The sequence below is a fragment of the Homo sapiens genome, chromosome 10 (assembly GCF_000001405.40).
Source record: "Homo sapiens chromosome 10, GRCh38.p14 Primary Assembly".
Classification (NCBI taxonomy): Eukaryota; Metazoa; Chordata; class Mammalia; order Primates; family Hominidae; genus Homo; species Homo sapiens.
Window position 1 is genome coordinate 32,610,454 of NC_000010.11, and position 22,432 is coordinate 32,632,885.

At 34.2% G+C, this 22,432-nt stretch overlaps 1 protein-coding gene across 46 annotated transcripts in view; it reads left to right on the plus strand.

Moving 5' to 3' along the window:
• The window catches only part of CCDC7 (coiled-coil domain containing 7), a 439,541-nt gene that overhangs the window by 167,130 nt on the left and 249,979 nt on the right, over positions 1-22,432 (plus strand). The window contains exon 1 of one of the 46 annotated variants that reach the window (XM_011519687.1): positions 13,331-13,364. The exons of the other annotated variants lie outside the window; for them this stretch is intronic. Coding sequence (XP_011517989.1) covers positions 13,355-13,364 — 10 coding nt within the window. The 5' untranslated portion in view covers positions 13,331-13,354. Of the gene's footprint in view, positions 1-13,330; positions 13,365-22,432 lie in introns of those variants that run through there. 46 annotated transcript variants of the gene reach the window in all.

The window sequence follows — 22,432 nt, forward strand, 5'->3', positions numbered from 1 at the left end:
GATACATGTGCAGAATGTGCAGGTTTGTTACACAGGTATACATGTGCCATAGTGGCTTGCTGCACCCATCAACGCGTCATCTACATTAGGTATTTCTCCTAATACTGTTCCTCCCCTTGCCCTCTACCCCCACAACAGGCCCTGGTTTGTGATGTTCCCCTCCGGGAGCCCATATGTTCTCATTGTTCAACTCCCACTTATGAATGAGAACATGTGGTGTTTGGTTTTCTGTTCCTGTGTTAGGTTGCTGAGAATAATGGTTTCCATCTTCATCCATGTAACTGCAAAGGACATGAACTCATCCTTTTTTATGGCTGCATAGTATTCCATGGTGTATATGTGCCACATTTTCTTTATCCAGTCTATCATTGATGGGCATTTTGGTTGGTTCCAAGTCTTTGCTATTGTGAATAGTGCCACAATAAACATATGTGTGCATGCGTCTTTATTGTAAAATAACTTACAATCCTTTGAGTATATACCCAGTAATGGGATTGCTGGGTCAAATGGTATTTCTAGTTCTAGATCATTGAGGAATTGCCACACTGTCTTCCACAATGGTTGAACTAATTGACACTCCCACCAATGGTGTAAAAGCCTTCCTGTTTATCTACATCCTCTCCAGCATTTGTTGTTTCCTGACTTTTTAATGATCACCATTCTAACTGGTGTGAGATGGTATCTCATTGTGGTTTTGATTTGCATTTCTCTAATGACCAATGATGATGAGCTTTTTTTCACTTTTGTTAGCCGCATAAATATCTTCTTTTGAAAAATGTCTGTTCATATCCTTTGCCCACTTTTTGATGGGGTTGTTTGTTTTTTTCTTGTAAATTTGTTTAAGTTCCTTGTAGATTCTGGGTATTAGTCCTTTGTCAGATGGATAATTGCAAAAATGTTCTCCCATTCTGTAGATTGCCTGTTCACTCTGATGATAGTTTCTTTTGCTATGCAGAAGCTCTTTAGTTTAATTAGATCTTATTTGTCAGTTTTGGCTTTTGTTGCCATTGCTTTTGGTGTTTTAGTCATGAAGTCTTTGCCCATGCCTATGTCCTGAATGGTATTGCCTAGGTTTTCTTCTAGGGTTTTTATGGTTTTAGGTCTTACATTTAAGTCTTTAATCCATCTTGAGTTAATTTTTGTATAAGGTGTAAGGAAGGGATCCAGTTTCAGTTTTCTGCCTATGGCTAGCCACTTTTCTCAGCATCATTTATTAAATAGGGAATCCTTTCCCCATTGCTTGTTTTTGTCAGGTTTGTCAAAGATTGGATGGTTTACATGTGTGGCATTATTTCTGAGGCCTGTGTTCTGCACCATTGATCTATACATCTGTTTTGGCACCAGTACCATGCTGTTTTGGCTACTGTAGCCTTGTAGTATAATTTGAAGTCAGGTAGCATGATGCCTCTAGCTCTGATCTTTTTGCTTAGGATTGTCTTGGCTATACAGGCTCTTTCTTGTTTCACATGAAATTTGAAGTAGTTTTTTCTAATTCTCTGAAGAAAGTCAATGGTATCTTGATGGGAATAGCATTGAATCTATAAATTACTTGGGACAATATGGCCATTTTCACAATATTGATTCTTCCTATCCATGAGCATGGAATGTTTTTCCATTTGTTTGTGTCCACTCTTATTTTGTTGAGCAGTGGTTTGCAGTTCTCCTTGAAGAGGTCCGTCACATCCCTTGTAAGTTGTATTCCTAGGTATTTTATTCTCTTTGTAGCAATTGTGAATGGGAGTTCACTCATGATTTGGCTCTCTGTTTGTCTATTCTTGGTGTATAGGAAAGCTTGTGATTTTTGCACATTGATTTTGTATCCTGAGACTTTGCTGAAGTTGCTTATCACCTTAAGGAATTTTTGGGCTGAGACAATGGGGTTTTCTAAATATACAATCATGTCATCTGCAACAGAGAGAATTTGACTTCCTCTCATCCTATTCGAATACCCTTAATTTTTTTCTCTTGCCTAACTGCCCTGGCCAGAACTTCCAATATTATGTTGAATAGGAGTGGTGAGAGAGGGCATCCTTGTCTCGTGCTGGTTTTCAAAGGGAATGCTTTCAGTTTTTGCCCATTCAGTATGATATGGGCTGTGGGTTTGTCGTAAATAGCTCTTATTATTTTAAGATACATTCCATCCATACCTAGTTTATTAGTGTTTTTAGCATGAAGTGGTGTTGAATTTTATTGAAGACCTTTTCTACATCTATTGAGATAATCGTGGTTTTTGTCACTGGTTCTGTTTATGTGATGGATTACATTTATTGATTTGCGTATGTTGAACCAGCCTTGTGTCCCGGGGTGAAGCCGACTTGATCATGGTGGATAAGCTTTTTAATGTGCTGCTGGATTCAGTTTGCCAGTATTTTATTGAGAATTTTTGCATCGATGTTCATCAGGGATATTGGCCTGAAATTTTCTTTGTTTTTTTTTTTGTTGTGTCTCTGCCAGGTTTTGGTACCAGGATGATGCTGACCTCATAAAATGAGTTAGGTGGGAGTTCCTCTTTTTCTATTATTTGGAATAGTTGTAGAAGTAATGGTACTAGCTCCTCTTTGTACCTCTGGTAGAATTCGACTGTGAAACATGTGGTCCTGAACGTTTTTGGTTGGTAGGCTATTAATTACTGCCTCAATTTCAGAACTTCTTATTGGTCTATTCAGGGATTCTGTTTTTTCCTGGTTTAGTCTTGGGTGGGTGTATGTGTCCAGGAATTTATCCATTTATTCTAGATTTTCTATTTTATTTGCCTAGAGGTGTTTATAGTATTCTCTGAGGGTAGTTTATATTTTTGTGGGATTGGTGGTGATATCCCCTTTATCGATTTTATTGTGTCTATTTGATTCTTTTCTCTTCTTTATTAGTCTGGCTAGCAGTCTATTTTGTTATTCTTTTCAAAAAACTAGCTCCTGGATTCATTGATTTTTTTGAAGGATTTTTTGTGTCTCTATCTCCTTCAGTTTTGCTCTGATGTTAGTAATTTCTTGTCTTCTGCTAGCTTTTGAATTTGTTTGCTCTTGCTTCTCTAGTTCTTTTAATTGTGATGTTAGGGTGTTGATTTTAGATCTTTCCTGCTTTCTCATGTGGGCATTTAGTGCTATAAATTGCCCTCTAAACACTGCTTTAGCTGTGTCCCAGAGATTCTGGTATGCTGTGCCTTTCTTCTCATTTGTTTCCAAGAACTTATTTATTTCTGCCTTAATTTTGTTATTTACACAGTAGTCATACAAGAGCAGGTTGTTCAGTTTCCATGTAGTTGTTCAGTTTTGAGTGAGTTTCTTAATCCTGAGTTCTAATTTGATTGCATTGTGGTGATTTCTGTTCTTTTGCATTTGCTGAGGAGTGTTTTACTTCCAATTATGTGGTTAGTTTTAGAATAAGTGCAATATGGTGCTGAGAAGAATGTATATTCTGTTGATTTTGGGTGAAGAGTTCTGTAGATGTTTATTAGGTCTGCTTCTGTAGATGTTTATTAGGTCCAGAGCTGAGTTCAAGTCCTGAATATCCTTGTTAATTTTCTGTCTCATTGATCTAATATTGACAGTAGGGTGTTAACGTCTCCCACTATTATTGTATGGGAGTCTAAGTCTCTTTGTAGGCCTTTAAGAAGTTTCTTTATGAATCTGGGTGTTCCTGTATTGGGTGAATATATATTTAGGATAGTTAGCTCTTCTTGTTGCATTGATCCCTTTACCATTATGTAATGCCCTTCTTTGTTTCTTTTGATCTTTGTTGATTTAAAGACTGTTTTATCAGAGACTAGGATTGCAACCCCTGGTTTTTTTTTTCTTTTCTTTTTTTTTTTGCTTTGCTTTCCATTTGCTTGGTAAATCTTCCTCCATCCCTTTATTTTTAGCCTACGTGTGTCTTTGCATGTAGACACACATAGGCTAATACGTCTCCTGAATACAGCACAGCAATGGGTATTGACTCCTTATCTAACTTGCCAGTCTGTGTCTTTTCATTGGGGCATTTAGCCTGTTCACATTTAAGGTTAATATTGTTATATGTGAATTTGATCCTGTCATTATGAAGCCAGCTGGTTATTTTGCCCATTAGTTGATTCAGTTTCTTCATAGTGTCAACATGTGCATATTTCTTATATGCATATATTTCATAGTGGTGAAATATGGGCATTTAGTGTACCTCTCACCTAAATACTGAACATTGTACCAAATAGGTAATTTTTCAACCCTCCCACATTTTAGTCTCCATCAAAACCTGTGGATTGACTTACCCTGCTTTCCACAGCTGGTACTCACACACACCACTGGGGAAACAGGGTGGAACCACCCACCTTCTGCCATTAGCACCTGCACATGTCCTTTGGGGGCCAAGGAGTTTGATCTATCCCACCCACTGCTGCTTTCTATTTTTCCACTCTGTGTGTCCATTGTACCTATAGTTTAGCTCCACTTATAAGTGAGAACATGCAGTTTTTGATTTCCATTTCTGAGTTATTTCACTTAGTATAATGGCCTCCAGTATCATCCATGTTGCTGCAAAAAACATGAATTCATTTTTTATGGCTAAATAGTATTCCATAGTGTGTGTGTATATGCATACCTACACCCACCCACCACTACCTCCACATACACTACATTCTCTTTATCCATTCCTCTGTTGATGGACACAGGTTGTTGTTTCCGTATCTTTGCTATTATGAATAATTCTAGGGTAAACATACAAGTGCAGTTATCTTTTTGTATAATGATTTTTCCCTTTGGGTATATATCCAATAGTGGGATGGCTAGATCAAATGTTATTTCTATTTTTACTTCACTGAGAAATTGCCATATGATTTTCCATAAAGGTTGTACTAATTTACATTCCCACCAACAGTGTATAGTGTTCCCTTTTCTCTGCATCCTTGCCAACATCTGTTGTGTTTTGACTTTTTAATAACAGCCATTCTGACTGGTGTAAAATGATATCTCATTGTGTTTTTTATTTGCATTTCTCTGATGATTTCTAAGATTGGACCGTCTTTCATAGTTTGTTGGCTGCTTCTGTGTCTTCTTTTGAAAAATGTTTGTTCAACATTTCCCTTGCTCACCTTTTAAATGTTTTTTTTCTTTGTTAAGCTGTTTGAGTTCTTTGTGATTCTGGATATTGGCCCTTTGTTGGATGCATAATTTACAAGTATTTTTTTCTTATTCTGTAGGTTGTCTGTTTACTCCATTGATTGTTTCCTTTGCTGTACAGAAGCTTTTTGGTTTAATTAAGTCCCATATGTCTATTTTCATTTTTGTTGCATTTGCTTTGAGGACTTGTTCATAAATTCTCTGCTTAAGTCAATGTCCAGAAGAGTTTTTCCTAGGTTTCTTCTAGGATATTTATAATGTCAGGTGTTAGTTTAGGTCTTTAATCCATCTTGAGTTAATTTTTGTATATGGTGAGAATTATGGGTCCAATTTATTTCTTTTGTATATAACAATCCAATTTTCCCAACACTGTTTATTGAATTAGGATATCTTTTCCTCAGTGTAAATTTTTGTTGAATTGGTCAAAAATCAGTTGATTGCAGGTATATTGTTCTTTATTCTCTTCCATTGATCTGTGTGTCTATTTTTATACCAGCACCATGTTGTTTTGCTTACTCTAGCCTTGTAGTATAATTTGAAGTCAGGTAATGTGATGCCTCCAGCTTTGTTCTTTTTTGCTTAAGATTGCTTTGGCTATTTGGACTCCTTTTTTGATTCCATATGAATTTTAGGATTATTTTATCGAATTCTATGAAAAATGATGATAATTTGATAGAGGTTGTGTTCAATCTGCTGATTACTTTGGGTAGTATGGTCATTTCAATAATATTGTTTCCTTCAATCCATGAGCATGGGATGTTTTTCTATTTGTTTGCATAGTCTGTGATTTCTTTCATTAGTGTGTTATAGTTCTCCTTATAGAGATCTTTTTACTCCTTGGTCAAATATTCCTTGATATTTTATTTCATTTTTATAGCCATTGTGAATGGGAATGCCTTCTTGATTTGGTCCTTGACTAAGTCATTATCAGTGTGTAAAAATGCTTCTGATTTCTGTATATTAATTTTGCATCCTGAAACTTTTCCGAATTGATTTATCAAATCTAAGAGGTTTTTTTTTTTTGGTGAAGTCTTTAGGGTTTTCTAGAATAAGATATTATCATCAGTGAACAGGGATAATTTGACTTCCTCATTTCTAATTTCGGTGGCTTTTTGTTTTCTCTTGCATGATTGCTTTGGTGAGGACTTCTAGAATTATGTTAAATAAGAGTGGTAAAAATGGGCATTCTTGTCTTCTGCCAGTTCTTAGAGGGAATGCTTTCAACTTTTCCTCATTAAGATGTTTGCTGTGGATTTGTCATATATTACCTGTTATGTTGAAGTATGCTTTTTTTATGCCTAGTTTGTTGAGGATTTTTATCATGAAGGGATGCTGAATTTTATGGAATGCTTTTTCTGTGCCTGTTGAAATGATTATGTGGTTTTTGTCCTTAATGTTTATGTGATGTATTTCATTTATTGATTTGATACTTATTATTGGTCTGTTTGAGAGTTTTAGTTTTTTCTGGTTCGATATTGGGTGTTTGTATGTTTCCAGAAATTTATTTATTTCCTCTAGGTTTTCTAGTTTGTGAGTGTAGAGTTGTTGATAATAGTCACTGATGATATCTTGTATTTCTGTGGAATCAATTGTAATATCTTTTTTCATTTCTGATTGCATTTATTGAGATCTTGTCTCTTCTTTTCTTGATTAGTCTACTTAGTTTTTGTCAATTTTCTTTACCCTTTCAAAGAACTAACTTTTTGTTTCATTGATTATTTGTGTTTTATTTTGTTTTCTATTTCATTTGGTTCTTCTTTGATATTTGATATTTGTTTTTTTCTGTTAACTTTGGGTTTGGTTTATTCTTTTTCCTCCAGCTTTTTGAAGTGTGATGTTAAGTTGTTAATTTGTGGTCTTTCTACTTTTTTGTTGTAGGCTTTAATGCTATAAACCCCTCTTAGCCCCGCTTTTGCTGTATCTAACAGGTTTTGGTATGTTGTGTTTTCATTTTCATTCATTTAATAAAATTTTTAAATTTATATCTTATTTTTTCATTGACCCAGTGATCATTCAGAAGCCTACTGTTTAAATTTCCATGTATTTTTATCATTTCTGAAGTTTCTCTTGGTATTGATTTCTAGTTTTATTCCACTGTAGTCTGAGAAGACACTTGATATGATTTCGATTTTTGAAAATTTGTTAAAACTTGTTTTATGGCTTTGCTTTAACATGGTCTACCTTGGAGAATATTCTATCTGCTTATCAAACTAATGTATATTCTGTAATTGCTTGGTAGAGTGTTCTGTAAATGTCTATTAAGTCCATTTGGTCTAAAATCCAGTTTAAGTTCAGTGTTTCTTTGTTAAATGATCTGTCTAGTGCTATGACTGTGATGTTGACGTCCTCCTCTATTATTGTATTGCTAGGTGTTTTGATGTTGGGTGCCCATGTATTTAGGATTGTTGTATCCTTTGCTGAATTGATCTCTTTATCATTATATAATGTCTTTCTTTGTCTTGTATTACTTTTTTTGATCTAAAGTCTGTGTTATCTGATTTAACCATAGCTACTTGTGTTCCCCTTTGGTTTCTATTTGCATGGAATATATTTTCTACCCCTTTACTTTTAGTCTATATGTGTCTTTATAGGTAAGGTGAGTTTCTTATAGGAAGAATGTAATTTGATCATATTTTTTAATGCAGTCTGCCAATCTCTATCTTTTAAGTGGAGCATTTAACCTATTAAAGGTTAATATTGATATATGAGGCTTTGTTCTTGTCATGTTTTTATTTTTAAATTGTTTTAAATTTTTTTATTTTCTTCTCTTTTTGTCTTTGTGGTTTGATGAAATTCTATTGTGATTCCATTTGATTCCTTTATTTTCCTCCTTTTTGTGATTATTTTATAAAAACTAAGTTTTATATTTCTGTATGTTTTCATAATGGTAATTATCAACCTTTCATTCCCATGTCTAAGTACTCTCAGCATTTTCGGCAAGACCAGTCCAGTCACCAAAAATTTTCTAAGTATTTGCTTATCTGAGAAAGACTTTATTTTTTCTTGATTTATGAAGCTTCTTCTGGCAGCATATAACATTCTGGACTGACAGATTTCTTTTTTTTTCTCTCAGCACTTTGAAAATGCCATCTTATTCTCTTCTGGCCCATAAGTCTTCTGTTAGTCAGATGTGGTTTCCTTTGTAGGTCACCAGCTGATTTTCTCTTTCTAACTTTAAAATTCTTTCTTTCACTGACTGTAGACATTCTGAATATATAGGCTGTGGTGACTTCTTTTTGCAATGTATTTGCCTTGGGATAGGAAGTTCTCAGCAATTGTTTCCTTAATTTGTTTTCTAAATTTTTTGATTGCTCTTCCTTCCTCAGGAATACCAACAATGCATAAGTTCTATAGCTTTATGTAGTCCCAGACATCTCAAAGCTTTGTTCATTCTGTTCTATTCTTTTATCTTTATTTTTATCTGACTGGATTATTTCAAAAGACCTTTCTTCAAGTTCTGAGATTTTTTTCTTCTATTTAGTCTATAATTGAAGCTTTTGAATGTATTTAATATTTCCTTCAATGATTTTTTTTGTTCTAGAATTTCTGCTTGGTTTTATTTTATTTTATTTTTCAAGGCCAAAGCCTTTTAGTAAAGACAGTAATCTTATTTTGATAAAAAGTATATTTCAAAATAAAAATGTAATGTTAATAAATCCTAAAGCATCAAGTAACATGAAAAACATAGTAAAACTTTTGAGCAATATAAGAGAAAATGACTTGTACATCTGTAAAACGAAAGAGATTCCATTATAAAGCTACTTGAATTGATAAAAACAGAATTCAACAAAATGGTAGGATGAGATAAATATACAAAAATCAATAGCTAGCCTGTATAATAACAATAATGTATTAAAATTATGATGAAAAAGGAAATAGCATTGAAAATATAATAATGGTAGGGAGCACACTGGGATCAATATTTGATCAAATTAATATAAAATTTATTTAGAAGAATAAAACATATAGAATAACATACATATGCACACATACAGGCATATATGTTAAAGGCAAGAATAATGAGGAGTAATTAGCCCTACCAGATCTTAGACAATCTTATACTTGAATAATTAAAGCAGTGTGGTATTGATGCAAAAATAGACAGATAAATGAACAAAATAAATAACCTTGAAATTGATCCTGAGCTCAAGCAATCTTCTTCCTGCTTCAGCCTCCTGAGCAGCTAGGACTACAGGCTCGCACCACCATGCCAGTCTATTTTTAAAAAAAATTTTTTTTGTTGAGACAAGGTCTTGCTATGTTGCCCAGCCTGGTCTCAAACTCTTGGTCTCAAGTGATCCTCCCACCTCAGTCTCCAAAAGTGCTGATATTACAGGCATGAGCCACTGCTCCCAGCCCTTCAATGTACCTTTTTTTTTTTTTTTTTTTTTTTTTTTTTTGAGACAGAGTCTTGCCCTGTCACCCAGACTGGAATTCAGTGGCATGATCTTGGCTCACTGCAACCTCCGCTTCCTGGGTTCAAGCAATTTTCCTGCCTCAGCCTCCTGAGTAGCTGGGACTACAGACATGCACCACCACACTCGGCTAATTTTTGTATTTTTAGTAGAGATGGAGTTTTGCCATGTTGGCCAGGCTGGTCTCGATCTCCTGGCCTCAAATGATCCACCCGTCTTGACCTCCCAACATGCTGGGATTATAGGCATGAGCCACTGTGCCCAGCCCCAATGTGTCTTTTAATTCTGTTATTGCATTTTAGGTTTTCTTGCATTGTTTTATTTTGGTGATCTTTATTTACATTTGTGATTTCATCTCAAATTGGTATTCTCATATAATTTCCTGCACCTGTTTTATAGCGTGATAATATCATCTTCTACTCTACTGATGTTGCCAGACAGTTTTGAAAATAATTTTTTAGAGTTCTCATATTACATAATTTTAGAGGTATAATTGTCTTCTTCCTTTATCACATTTTTTTTTTCTGTTTTATAGTTACCCTCACATTGGATTTTTTTTTTGTGGGTAATTCCTCCGTAATTCTGGTACTTGATTGCCATTTATAATTTTGGTATTTTTGTGAATGTTTTAATCTTCCTACATATTTTAGTGAAAAGTATGGAGAGACACTGCTAGACACTGTTGATTTTGTATTTATATTTAAGAACTTTTCCACTGTCCAGCCATGGCTGACTGAGCCAATCCATCCTGTGTTTAGCAGTGTCTGATTAAGGTTTAGATACTGTTAAGTGGTTGTCTCAGATGTTACTGACTAAAGGGAGAATTTTATCACCATATGATATAGCTGGAGAGGTCTACAGTCATTGTTACTACTTTCAGCAGTGCAACTTAAGGAGGATACTGTATTCCTTCACGATTGTAAATATGGTATGCAGAGTTTTAGTGTCTTCATAGCCAAAATAATACCATTAAGTACAGAAACATTTGAGCTGAATTTAATCTTGACATTGGAAGTTTTGATAAATTACTGAATATAATCCCATCTCCAACCTACTCTGCACTATTCTTATTATTAAGAAATAATGTGTTTTAGTTTTCCGGGACAAAGCTGGTTTAGTCTGATTGTTTCAGTGTAATTACTAATAGCAACCCTGTTGTTTTCAAGATTGTCAAGATTTAGGTGATAAATTATATGGTCACTTTACTTTGAAGGATTTTATTTCTGATCTTCTTATAATCATATTACCCATGTGATATAGATGCTTTCATGAATGAAATACTTCCTTACCTTATGCTTCCATTACCATCTCTTGAAGATACCGCTGTCTCTTCTTTATACCACAAAGAAAACTTCTGTTTTCAAAGACTTTTTTGTTAGGATTCCCAATTCATGTCCCAGATATTGAGGACAATTTCCAAAGCCTTACATGTTTTCATTATCTGTCTGCTGCCACCACTGTATTAGTCAGGCTTTCCCCCAGAAACGGAACCAATAGGATCTGTCTGTCTGTCTGTCTATATCTCTATCAATATATAGATACACATGAGGATATTTATTATGAGAATTGGCTCACATGATAATGGATGCTGAGAAGTCCCATGATATGCCATCTGGGAAAGGCCATAGTGTAATTCAGTCTGAATCTGAAGGCCTGAGAACCAGAGGTGCTGATGGTGTAACCTCCACTCCAAGGTCAAAAGCTTAAGATCTGGGAGGCCATTGGTTTAAGTCCTGGAATCTGAAGGCCCAACAACCAGGAGCTCCAATTCCAAGGGCAGGAGAAGATGGATATCCCAGCCAAGAAGAAAGGGAGAACTTATTGTTGCTCTGCGTTTTTGTTCTATTTAGGCCCTAAGTGATTTGGATGACACCTGTCCACATTGGTAAGGGTGGATCTTCTTTAGCCCATCTACTGATTCAGATGCTTATATTTTCTAGAAACACCCTTACAGACACACTGAGAAATAATGTTTTACTAGCTATCTGGGCATCTTTTAGCCCCATCAACTTGACACATAAAATTAACCATCACAAGCACCATTGTACTTACAGAGCTTATCAATCTCAGATCTCACAAATTCAAGTGTTCACTCAATTTATCTGTGTTTTATCTCTCACCTTTCTCTACGGAATTCAGTTTGCAAATGTACTGTCTTCTGTGTGTACTTCATTCTGTATTCTGAGATTCTTTTTGACTCTTGGCTAACTCTCACTCTCATGATCTCAGTTTCACTTACAGCTTTAGATAAAAGGCAGTGTCCTTTTTCTAACATTGGACCCATAGAGTCCTATCTACTTGCTCTGGCTAGTTTTAGCTACCCTGTCTGGATTTTTTTTTCTCAAATAGGTAAATTCAAACAAAGGAAATATGAGATTTAATGAAGAATTATTGTATAAATAGATTTGTGTTTTAATGAAACTAACCCCATCCCACCTAACTCCATTCGAGCCTTCTCCTGCTTGGGCAGCAATTTAGATAATAGACTGAAGGGGCAAATTTGTAGTTAAGAATAACTGCAGTGATAGTAAAGATGTACTATGGGGGTGGGAGTGGTTCAGAATTGAAATTTTTTTTAGGATATAGAATTGACAAGTCTTGGTTAAACTGATCTGTTTAATCAGTGTTTCTCAACCTCTGCACTGTTGACATTTTGGCCCAGATTATTCCTGTTGTGAGAGGCTTACTTATGTATTGCAGGATGTTTAACAGCATGCCTGTTCTCCATCCACTAGATGCTAGTAGCGACCCTCAGTTGTAAGAAAGAAAAATGTAATTGAGCACCGCTAAATGTCCCCTGGGGGAAAAACACCTCCAGTTGAGAACTACTGTGTTAAATAAATGGCATATGCTTTGTATTGCAAACTGTTACAGGGTTAGCAATAATTATTTCTATGATAATAAGTTTAAAAAATAGATATTATTAATAATAATAAAATGTTTTTATGCCTGAGCATTGCAAGGTTGGCTTAACACTTGAAAATTAATTAGTGTAATTCACTACATTAACAGAAATTGGCATATTTTCAAATGGTTGATGACAATTCGCAAACTCTCTTCTGAATGTGTCATACAACATGTTGTTCTTCTGTTTTATTTTCTCATCAAGTTTTCAGCGTCCCCTACATATCAGGAATGTTGATTTTGTTAACTTTTTCCTGCCATATAGATTGCAAGTGTCTTTCCTAGACTCTTACTACATTTTGTTTGTTACACAAAATATTGTGTTATTAAATGTACCTATATTTCTTTTGTGAATTCAGGAATTCCTTTTTTATTTAAAAGGGCCTTGTCCTTCCAAATGTTTTATAAAAATTATCCTATATGTTCTGAAATTTTATTTTGTTTCACAGTTGGATCTTTATTGCAGTTGGATTTTATTTTTGTATTTGATATATGATAGGGTATATAACCTGATTATGTGAGCTTCATTTATTAAAACATATTTTCTATAATGAATATAAATGCCATTTTTTAATATATTTTCATTTTTATGTATTTCTATTTTGGATTTCTATTCTGTTTTATTGATACAATTATCTATCATTGCACAAATACTTTGTTTTTAACACTTTAGTAAGTTTTAATGTCTTAATTTTCCCTCTTCTACAACCTGCTTCTCCCTTAGTTGCCTTACCTCAATAAATACTATTAAGAACTCTGTCAGATACTGCTTTAGTCCATCTGTGTTGACATAAGGAAATACTTGAGGCTGGGTTATTTATAAGGAAAAGAGGTCTTATTTTGTCTCATGGTTCTGTAGGCAGTACAAGAAACATGGTGCCGGCATCTGCTTCTGGCGAGGGCCTCAGGGAGCTTCTACTCGTGCAGGAAGGTGAAGTGGGAGCAGATATGTCACACGGTGAGTGTGGGAATGAGAGAGTAATGGGAGAGGTGCTACACACGTGAACAACCAGATTTCGCCTGAACTGAGTGAGAACTCACTTCTTCCCAAGGGGATGGTGCTAAACTGTTCATGAGGGATCCTCCCGTATAATCCAAACACCTCCCACCGGGCCCCACTTTCAACACTGAGGATTGCATTTCAACATGAGATGTGGCGGGGACCAGTATCCAAACCATATCAGTTATTCAGTCTGAAAACCTTGAGAGTTTTTCTTGACTGCTTACTTTCTCTCACAATCCTTATTCAATGCACTAGAACATTCTTTTCTTCCTTTTATCAAAATATATAAAAAATTCAACCACTTTTCACCACCTCCACCACTTTCACATTTACCATGTTAGTTTATTCCATTATCTTTTTTGTTGCCCTGGACTATTACAATAGTTGCTTGATTCCCCCATTTCTAATCTTGATCACATAGCAGCCAGAGTGATCTTCTTAAAATATAAATCACATTCTCATTCTCTCCAACCACTTTCCAAAGAGCTGCAGGCTTAGCATACACATTGTCTGCCTTCCAAGTTGTAGCAGTCAACAGTTCTACCAAATGGCATGCTGTTTCTGTCTGTTCCTTTGCATTTTAACAATCAGATGCTAAACCAATGCCACTAATTTTAAATTTATTGATTTAGGTAAGGGTATTCTCAGTGCTTCAAAAGCAATGTCAAAATCTCAATGCCTTAATATAACTGTTGTTTATGTCTCTCTCATCTAATAGTTTAATGAGAGTCAGTGGACAAGTTTCTTATCCATAGAGTCATCTGGTTACCTAGACTCCTTCTATCTAGTGGCTACATTCCATAAGGCTTTGGAGTCCTCCATTGCATCTTCCCAACTACGTGGAATGAAAATTTGTACAGCAGGTTTTAGAGGACAGCACTGGGTGTGTGTGTGTGTTGATGACTTTTTCATATACTTACTGGCCATTTGTATGTCTACTTTTATGAAAAAGTCTATTTTGGTCATTTGCCCATTTTTAATTGGATTATTTGGGTTTTAGTGTTGAATTGCTTGAGTTCATTATATTTTGTTTTTATATTAATTGCTTATCAAATTTATGGTTTCTCCCAGTCCATAGGTTGCCTTTTCATTTCGTTGACTTTTTTCTTTGCTTTGCACAAGTTTTTTTTTTTTTTTTTTTTTTTTTTAGTTCTTCACTAATCTGCAGAGGTTCTACTTGTTTATTTTTGCTTTTGTTGCCAGTGATTTTGGTGTCCTACCCAGAAAATCAAGAATTATGGCAAGGAGCTTTTCCCCTATGTTTCCTTCTGGACGTTTTATGGTATTATGCTTAAAATTTTAATTCATTGAGTTGATTTTTGTGTATGTGTCAAATAAGTGTCCAATTTTATTTTTTGCATGTGGATATCCAATTTTCTCAACCTAATTTAAGGAATTATGTTTTCTTCATTGTGTATTGGTGGCACCCCTGTCAAAGATTAATTGACCATATATGCCTCGGTTTATTACTGGGCTCTCTAACCTATTTGTTTGACCTATGTGTCTGTTTTATTATTATTATTTTTATTTTATGTGTCTGTTTATATACCATTACAATACTGTTTAAATTTTTAAATTTTATTTATTATTTATTTTATTATACATTGAAATTTATAGCTGTATTTATTATGGGGTATAAAGCAATGTTATGATTTACGAATATAATGTGGAGTACTTAAAGCTAATTAACACATCCATCAGCTCAAATATCACTTTTTATAGTGAGAACATTTGAAATTTACTCTCATAGCAATTTTGAAATGTACAATATGCTATTATATTCACCATGCTGTACAGTAGATATCAAAAAACCTTTATTCCTCGTGAATAACTGAGATTTTATACTTTTTGACATCATCTCTTTATTACCCCCACCTGCAGCCTGTGCAGCCCCCATTCTGCTCTCTGCTTCTATGAGTTCAGTTGTTTTATCTTCCACATGTAAGTGAAAACATGTGGTATTTGTCTTTCTGTGCTTGGCTTATTTCACTTAGCATAGTGTTCTACAGTTCTATCCATGTCATTGCAAGTGACAGAATTCCATTTTTAAAGGCTACATAGTATTCTACTCTCTCTATGTACTACATTTTCTTTATCCATTCATCCATTGATAAACAGGTTGATTCCATTACTTGGCTATCATGAATACTGCTGCCTGCAGTGAACAAGGGAGTGCAGACATTTCTTTGACAAACGGGTTTTAAACTTTTGGTAAATACTCAGAAATGCAATTGCCAGATCATATGGTGATTCTATTTTTAGTGTTTTGAGGAACCTCCATACTGTTTTTAATAGTTGATGTACTAGTTTACATTCCTGCTAACAGTGTACAAGAGTTATCTTTTCTTCATATCCTGACCAACACTTATCTTTGGTATTTTTGATAATAGACATTCTGACCGATGTGAGGTGACATATCATTGTGGTTTTAATTTTCATTTCCTTAATAATTAATGATGTTGAGCTTTAAAAATATATATGTTTTCCATTTTTGTGTCTTCTTTTGAAAAATGTACATTCAGTCCCATTACTTGTTTTTTAAATTGGGTTTTCTATTTTCTTGCTGTTGAATTTAGTTCCTTATATATTTTATGTATTAAATCCTTGATGAATGTATGGCTTGTACATGTTTTCTCCTAATTCATAGGTTGTCTCTTCAAATTATTAATAATTTCCTTTGCTGTGCAGAAACTTTTCAATTTTATGTAATCACACTTGTCTATTTTTGCTTTTGTTGCCTGTGCTTTTGGGGTCAAATAAAAAAAATTGCCTACACCAATGCTGTGCAGCTTTTACTTTTGTTTTCTTCTAATAGCTTTATAGTTTCTGGTATTACCTTTAGATTTTAATGTGAGTTTAATTTTTGTAAATGGTGTGAGATAAGAGCCCAATTTAATTCTTTGCATGTGAGTATCCAATTTTCCTAACACTATTCATTGAAGACTATCCTTTCCCCATTGTGTATTCTTAGCACCTTTGTTGAAAATCAATTGGCTATATAGGCTGGGTTCATATCTGCATTTTCTGGCGTGTTCCATTGGTTGGTGTGTCTACTTTTTTTGGCAGTACCATGCTGTTTTAATTACTATAGTTTTGTAGTATAGTTTGAAATCAGGTAACGAGATGCCTACAGCATTGTTCTTTTTGTTCATGATTGCCTTGGCTATTCAGGTTTTTTTTTTTTTGTGGTTCCATATGAATGTAAAATTTTTCTATGTCTGTGAAAAGTGACATTGGAATTTTAATAGGATTGCGTTGACACTATAGATTGCTTTGGGTAGTGTGGACATTTTTAAAAATCATGGGATATCTTTCCATTTATTTGTGTCTTCAATTTCTTTCATCAATTGTTTTATCATTTTTAGTGTACAGGTCTTTTATCTCTTTGGTCAAACTTTATTCCTAATTTATTTTTTAAATAGCTGTTGTAAATCAGATTGTTCTCTTCATTTCTGTTTTGGATAGTTCATTGTTAATGTATAGAAACACTACTGATTTATGTGTGTTAATTTGTATTGCGCAACTTTATAGAATTCAACATTTTTTGATGGAGTCATAAGGGTTTTTATGTATAATATTATATTGTTAGCAAACAATGATAATTTTATTTCTTTCTGGTCTATTTGTATGCCTTTTATTTCTTTCTCTAGCCTAATTTATTTGGTTGGGACTTCCAGTACTAATACTGAATAGAAGTGGTGAGAGTGGGCATTCTTGTCTTGTCCAGATCTTAGAGGAAAGGCTTTCAATTTTTAACTATTGATTATAATGTTACCTGAAGGCTTGTCATATATGGCCTTTATTGTTTACATACATTCCTTCTATATGTAATTTGGTGAGAGTTTTTTTTTAATCATGAAAGTATGTTGAATTTTGTCAAATGCCTCTTCTGCATCTATTGAGATGATCATGTGCTTTTTGTCCTTTAGTCTGTTAATATGATATATCACATTTATTGATTTGTATGTATTGAACCTTTTATGCATCCCTAGGATAAATCTCACTTGACCTTGATAGGTGATACCGTTAATGTGTTGTTGAATTTGGTTTGATAGTATTTTGTTGAGTATCTTTGCATCTATGTTCATCAAGGATATTGGTCAGTAATTTTTTTTTCTTGTAATGTCCTTATCTGGTTTTGGTATTAGGGTAGTAGTGGTCTAGTAAACCAAAATTGGAAGTATTCCCTCATTTTCAATTTTTTAGAACAGTTTAAGAAAGATTGGTATTAATTCTTTTTTAAATTCTTGGTAGAATTGAGCACAGAAACTCCAAGATCCAGGACTTTTCTTTCATGGTAGAGTTTTTCTTACTGACTTAATCTCGTTACTAATTATTGGTCTGTTCAGATTTTCTACTGTTCAGATTTTTTACTGATTTAATCTTGCTTGGTTGTATGTTTCTAGGAGTTTATTCATTTTTCTAGGTTATCCAGTTATTGGCATGTAATTGTTTATAGTAGTCTATTTTGATTTTTTTTTGGTCTTTATGTTACATCAGTTGTAATACCTCCTTTTCTGATTTTATTTGAGTCTTTTTGAAATTTAGTCTACCTAAAGGTTTTTAAAACTTTACCATTTCAAAGAATCAAGTCTTAGTTTCATTGTTCTTTTGTATTGATTTTTAGTCTCTATTTCATTTATTTCTGCTCTAATCTTTATTATTTCCTTTTTCTGCTAACTTTGGCTTAGTTTGTTCTTCTTTTTCTAGTTCCCTGACGAATAATGTTAAATTTTTGAGATCTTTCATCTTTTTTGATATAGACATTTATTGATATAAACTTTTCTCTTAGAACTGCTTTTGCCATATTCCATATCCCCTAAGTTGTGGTATGTTGTATTTTCAGTTTCATTTGTCTCATTGTATGTTTTAATTTTCCTTTTAATTTCTTTATTAACACATTGGTTTCCAGGACCATGTTTCATTTCCATGTATTTGTGAATTTTCTAAAATTTATTCTGCTATTGATTGCTAGTTTCATATCATTGTGGTGAGTAAAGATATTTGATATGATTTCAATCTTCTTAAATTTGCAAAGGCTTTTTTGTGCCTTATGTGTGATCTTTTCCAGAGAATGGCTGCATGTGCTTGAGAAGAATGTGCATTCTAGTGCTGTTGGATGGAATATTCTGTATATATCTATTAGGTTCGCTTGATCTAAAGTATAGTTCAAGTCCAGTGTTTCGTTATTAATGTTCCATCTGTATGATCTGTCCATTGTTGAAAGTGGAGTATTAAAGTTCTCCACTATTATTGTATTACAGTTGTTTTTCCCTTCAGACATTTAATATTTGCTTTATGTTTTTAGGTTCTCCGGTATTTACAGCATATATATTTACAAGTGTTACATTCTTTTGATGAATTGACCCCTTTATCATTACATAGTATGCTTCTTTGTCCCTTTTTACAGTTTTTGACTGGAAGTTTATTTTTTTGATATAAGTATAGTGACCTCTGCTCTCTTTTGGTTTCCTGGGGAGATAACTACTGAATATTGGCAAGTTTAAAAGTCACCTTTTTGTTCTTGTGGTCTAGGAGACTCAGGAGTTCAGAGCTGTGTCAGCTCCCACAGATAGGTGATTTGAGAGTCAGTTTATTGGGTGAAGGCTACAAAAGTCGGTCTCCTTGATGTGCATATAAACTACAAGAGAGAGAGTCCTCAGCTTTGGATTTATTGCTAGAGGAACCCAGGGAAGAATGTGCGAGGGTGCTCACTATTTTGTTCAAGCAAGCAGAAGTCTCACACCCTCCTAGCAGTGGGGGAGACTTTGGGTCTGGAGTTGCCTTTGAAGCAAGCCAGAGAAGAAGGTGCAGGGAGTAGGCACTTTTTCCTTTTTGGCTTGGAGAGGTCCCCTAGCCTCTCTCCAGTGAGAGATTTCAGGAATTTATCTGAGTAGAAATCCAGAGAAGGCACAGAGGGTGCCATCCCTTCCATTCTCACTGGCAGGGGACTCCAACCTCTTTTCACAGTGATATTGTAAGGCTGGAATTATTGCAGGAGCATCCTCAGGAAGAAAGCGCTAGAGTGCCTAATCTCCTGTTCAAAGAAACAGAAGTTTCAAACCCACCTTGTAGAGAGGGAGTCTTCTAGTTTGGAGTTATTGCTGAAGCAAGCCAGGAAGAAAGGCACAGGGATTGCTGTGCTTCCTGTTTTTCTACTATGTAGACTCCCAGATATTGGCTTGTTAGAAGCCAGAACTGCAGGGAGCTGCTGGAAAAGTATGTGGCCAAGCCCTTTCTAGGAGAAATCTGAGCTGTTCTCAGGGGTATTAGTGCTGGGAATGTTCACATGGTTCAAACTGCCCCTTTGTTTTTTTTGTCCTTGAGGGAAATCCTCTGATCCCCCTGTCCCTGCTGTTCCTCAAGCATGATTTAAGTGCCAAGCCCTATGGCATAGAGTGTAAAAGTTGGGTACCATATATACATATGGAAATATATATATGGGTACCATATATATGTGTGTGTGTATATATGTATATATATGCATATATATGTATGTGTATATATATATGAAACAAGCCCCTTACTTCTTGGGAAGAAGCTTGTAATAGGGGCTTCCTTCCTTAATATAAGGTGCTGTTCTCAATGTGAGGTTAGTGCAGGGAGTGGGGTTAGTACAGGGAGTCCTTTTCCCATTGCTTATTTTTGTTAGATAGATAAAGCAAATATTAGAGCTAAAGAGACAGACAGACCCCGATACAATAATAGCTAGATTTCAGCACTCCACTTATAGCATTGAACAGATCTCCCAGACAAAAAATCAACAAAGGAACTTCGAACTTAATCTGCACTATAAATTGGCCTAGTAGATATTTAAAGAATATTTTATTTATTGGTTGCAGAATAAACATATTTCTCAGCACATGGATCATTCTGATCTGTATAATATTCATTACTGGGTTGATCCAAAATAATTGTAAATTAAGATCAATTTTTATAATTTATATGCTGTGTCAGTTAGAAAATATAGCCCCAAATTCTTTGAGTCTTCTTCCAGTCAGGAAATGGGGTCTACCCAACCTCTTGTGAGTTTAGCTGGCTTATATTCATTTTCATTAATAGAATGGGTAGAAGTGATGCCATGCAGTGTCTGCCTGGCTCTTGGCACACAATCTCTGGAAGATTTATGTTAAGATATTTTCTTTCAGAATCCAGCTGCCATTCTGTGAGAAGCTCAAGGCAAAGGAAGGCCATATGTAGGTTCTCTGGTTAACAGCTTTAGCTGAGGCAGACATGTGAGTGAATGATGAAACCTCTAGATGATGGTGTCATTTGAAGCAAAAAAAATTTTAATTGTGAAGTTCAATTTATCTATATTTTCTTTTGTTAACTTGTGCTTTTGGTGTCATATCCAAGAAACCATTGCCTAAAGCAAAATCACAAAAATTTACTTCTCTATTTTTTTATAAAGGGTTTTATAGTTTTAACTCTTAATATTTAGGTCTGCAGTCCACTTTGAGTTGCCTGTAGTGTGAGATGAGAGTTCATGTTTATTCTTTTACATCTGTATATTCAGTTCCCAGCACTAGTTTTTGAAAATACTATTTTCTCCCCACTGAATTTTCTTAGTGCTCTTGTAGAAAAAATTGCTTGGCCATAAATGTAAGGGTTTGTTTCTGAACTCTCAATTCTATTGCATTTATGTATATGCCTTTGCTTATGCCAGTGCCACACTCTTGATTACTGAAATTTTGTACCAAGTTTTTAAATTGGGAGTGACAGGCCTCCAAATAGTTTTTTCTCATGTTTTGGTGGTTCTGGATGCCTTAAATTTACATATAAGTTTTAGTGTTGCCTTCTCAATTTCTACAAAAAAAAAAAAACACTAATTGGTATTTCGATAGGGATTAAGTCAAATCTGTAAATCAGTTGGAATGTATTGTCCTTTTAACAATATTGTCTAACAATACATAACCACAGGTTGTCTTCTCATTTATCATATATTCTTCAATTACTTTCAATGATTCTTTGTATTTTTAGTATACAGGACTTTATACTTATTTTTTTAAAAGTCATTCTTTAACTGTTTCATTTTGATACTATTATTAATTTTCAAACTGCTAATTGCTAGTATATAGAAATACAATTGAGTTTAGTATATTGATCTTATAATTTGAAATCTTTGCTAAATTGATTTCTTCTAATAGGTTTATTATTCCCTCTTTGGGATGTATTTGTGTGTGTATAGGTGTTTCTTAAATTTCTTTATAAAACATTTGTAAGTTGAGAGTTTTACTTCTTCCTTTTCAATCCAGATACATTTTATTTCTTTTTTTTGGGGGGGGGGGGGTCTAATTTCTCTGGCTAGAAACTCCATTGTAGTGTTAAACAGAAGTGATAAGACATCCTTATCTTGTTTTTACTTTAGTGGGAAAGCATTAACCATTAAGTATAATGCTAGCTATGAAATTCCCTTTCATTTTCAGTTTGTTGAGTGTTTTTCTAAAAAAGGATTTGGAGTTTGCTTTTTTTCGAACTATTGAGATGATTATAAAGGGAATCATTTATTAATATCGTTTAGTATATCGATTTTCAGTTATTAAACCAAGCCAGCATGGGATTGTTGATTTTTGCTCTTTTCTTATTCTTTCTTTTATTTATATAAATAAATATATATATTCTTTCTGCTTACTTTAATGTCCTCTTCTTTTTCTAGCTTATAAGGTAGAAGTTTTGTTGACTGAGGTCTCTTTTCTTTTTCAGTGTAAGTTTGCAGCTGTAAAATTCCTCTAAGCATCACTTTAGCTGCATCCCATAGTTTTCATGTGATGTGTTTTTGTTTTTCTTCACCTCAACCTATTTTCTAGTCTCCCTTATGATTTTTTCCTTGACCCATTGGTCATTTAGGAGTGTGTTGTTTAAATTCCACTTATTTGTGAATTCCTCAAATCTCCTCCTGTTATTGATTTCTAATGTCAGTTCATATAGATTGAAGAACAACTTTGGCATGAGTTTAATACTATTAAATTTCTCAAGGCTTGATTTATGGCCTAACATATTGCATATCTTAGAGATTTCCAAGT